Source organism: Homo sapiens, chromosome 12, assembly GCF_000001405.40.
Source record: "Homo sapiens chromosome 12, GRCh38.p14 Primary Assembly".
Classification (NCBI taxonomy): Eukaryota; Metazoa; Chordata; class Mammalia; order Primates; family Hominidae; genus Homo; species Homo sapiens.
The window spans coordinates 34,117,941-34,118,755 of NC_000012.12; the positions used below are offsets into that span (position 1 = coordinate 34,117,941).

Below are 815 nucleotides of genomic sequence, written 5' to 3' on the forward strand. Positions count from 1 at the left end.
ACAAAGACAGTTATTCAATTGAGACTTGCATTACATCATTTCTTACCTTTCAAGAAAAAACATGTTTATGACTTGAGTTTTTCTGTCTAGTGACCTTGCAGCTGCACGGCTAGAGAAACAGGGTCTTCACAATGCCTGGGAAAGGGAGAGATAAGGCTCACTAGCCACAGACAGAAAAACAGGCAGTTAATTTTTAAAGGATTCCACCTCTTTCTTGACCTCAGGGGGAATTGGGTTTTCTTACATACAACTGAGTTTTTCCTTACACATCCTTTAATTTCTCTTAATTCCTCTTCCATTTCCTGCCTTTAGTGCTTTTGATAACAAAGGTGTTAATAGAAAGCACCACTTTATGTCACCTTTTTGTGGAGCTGAGCTTCTTCTTTTACTGGCAGTGGCTGATATTTGGTTAATGCCATCAACTGTGCGATAGGATAGTGTATCGGGTTACTACTGTCTCTATAGTTGACTGAATGCTCCTAATAAACAGAGGTAAAAGGCAAGGCAGGATGAGGCAGATGCCAAGAATAAACAAAAACCCACCAATGAGGGTTTTGAATTCTCCAAAAGTTGAGAAGCATTTTCCAAACGAGGAATCCAGGGACCATCCAGACCAAGTCTGAACTGGAACATGGGCCAACTTGTGCATTTTAGCTGTGATTTTTATGACAGCTCGGCCATTATTATCAATTTCTAGGCAACAGTTGGTTAAATTAAATTTTTACTTACTTTTTTGAGACTAAGAGATAATCTAAAGTCAATTTATTTTGATATATAGCATTTTTTTGTGTTGCTTGTATTGTCAATAAATTTAG

General features: G+C 37.7%; 1 annotated feature.

The window, feature by feature from the left end:
* Nucleotides 1-201: a silencer, noted in NCBI's record as "peak1674 fragment used in MPRA reporter construct". NCBI's record gives its function as "represses an SCP1 promoter by STARR-seq MPRAs in K562 erythroleukemia cells {active_cell/tissue: K562}" and the evidence as "EXISTENCE:reporter gene assay evidence [ECO:0000049][PMID:32103011]".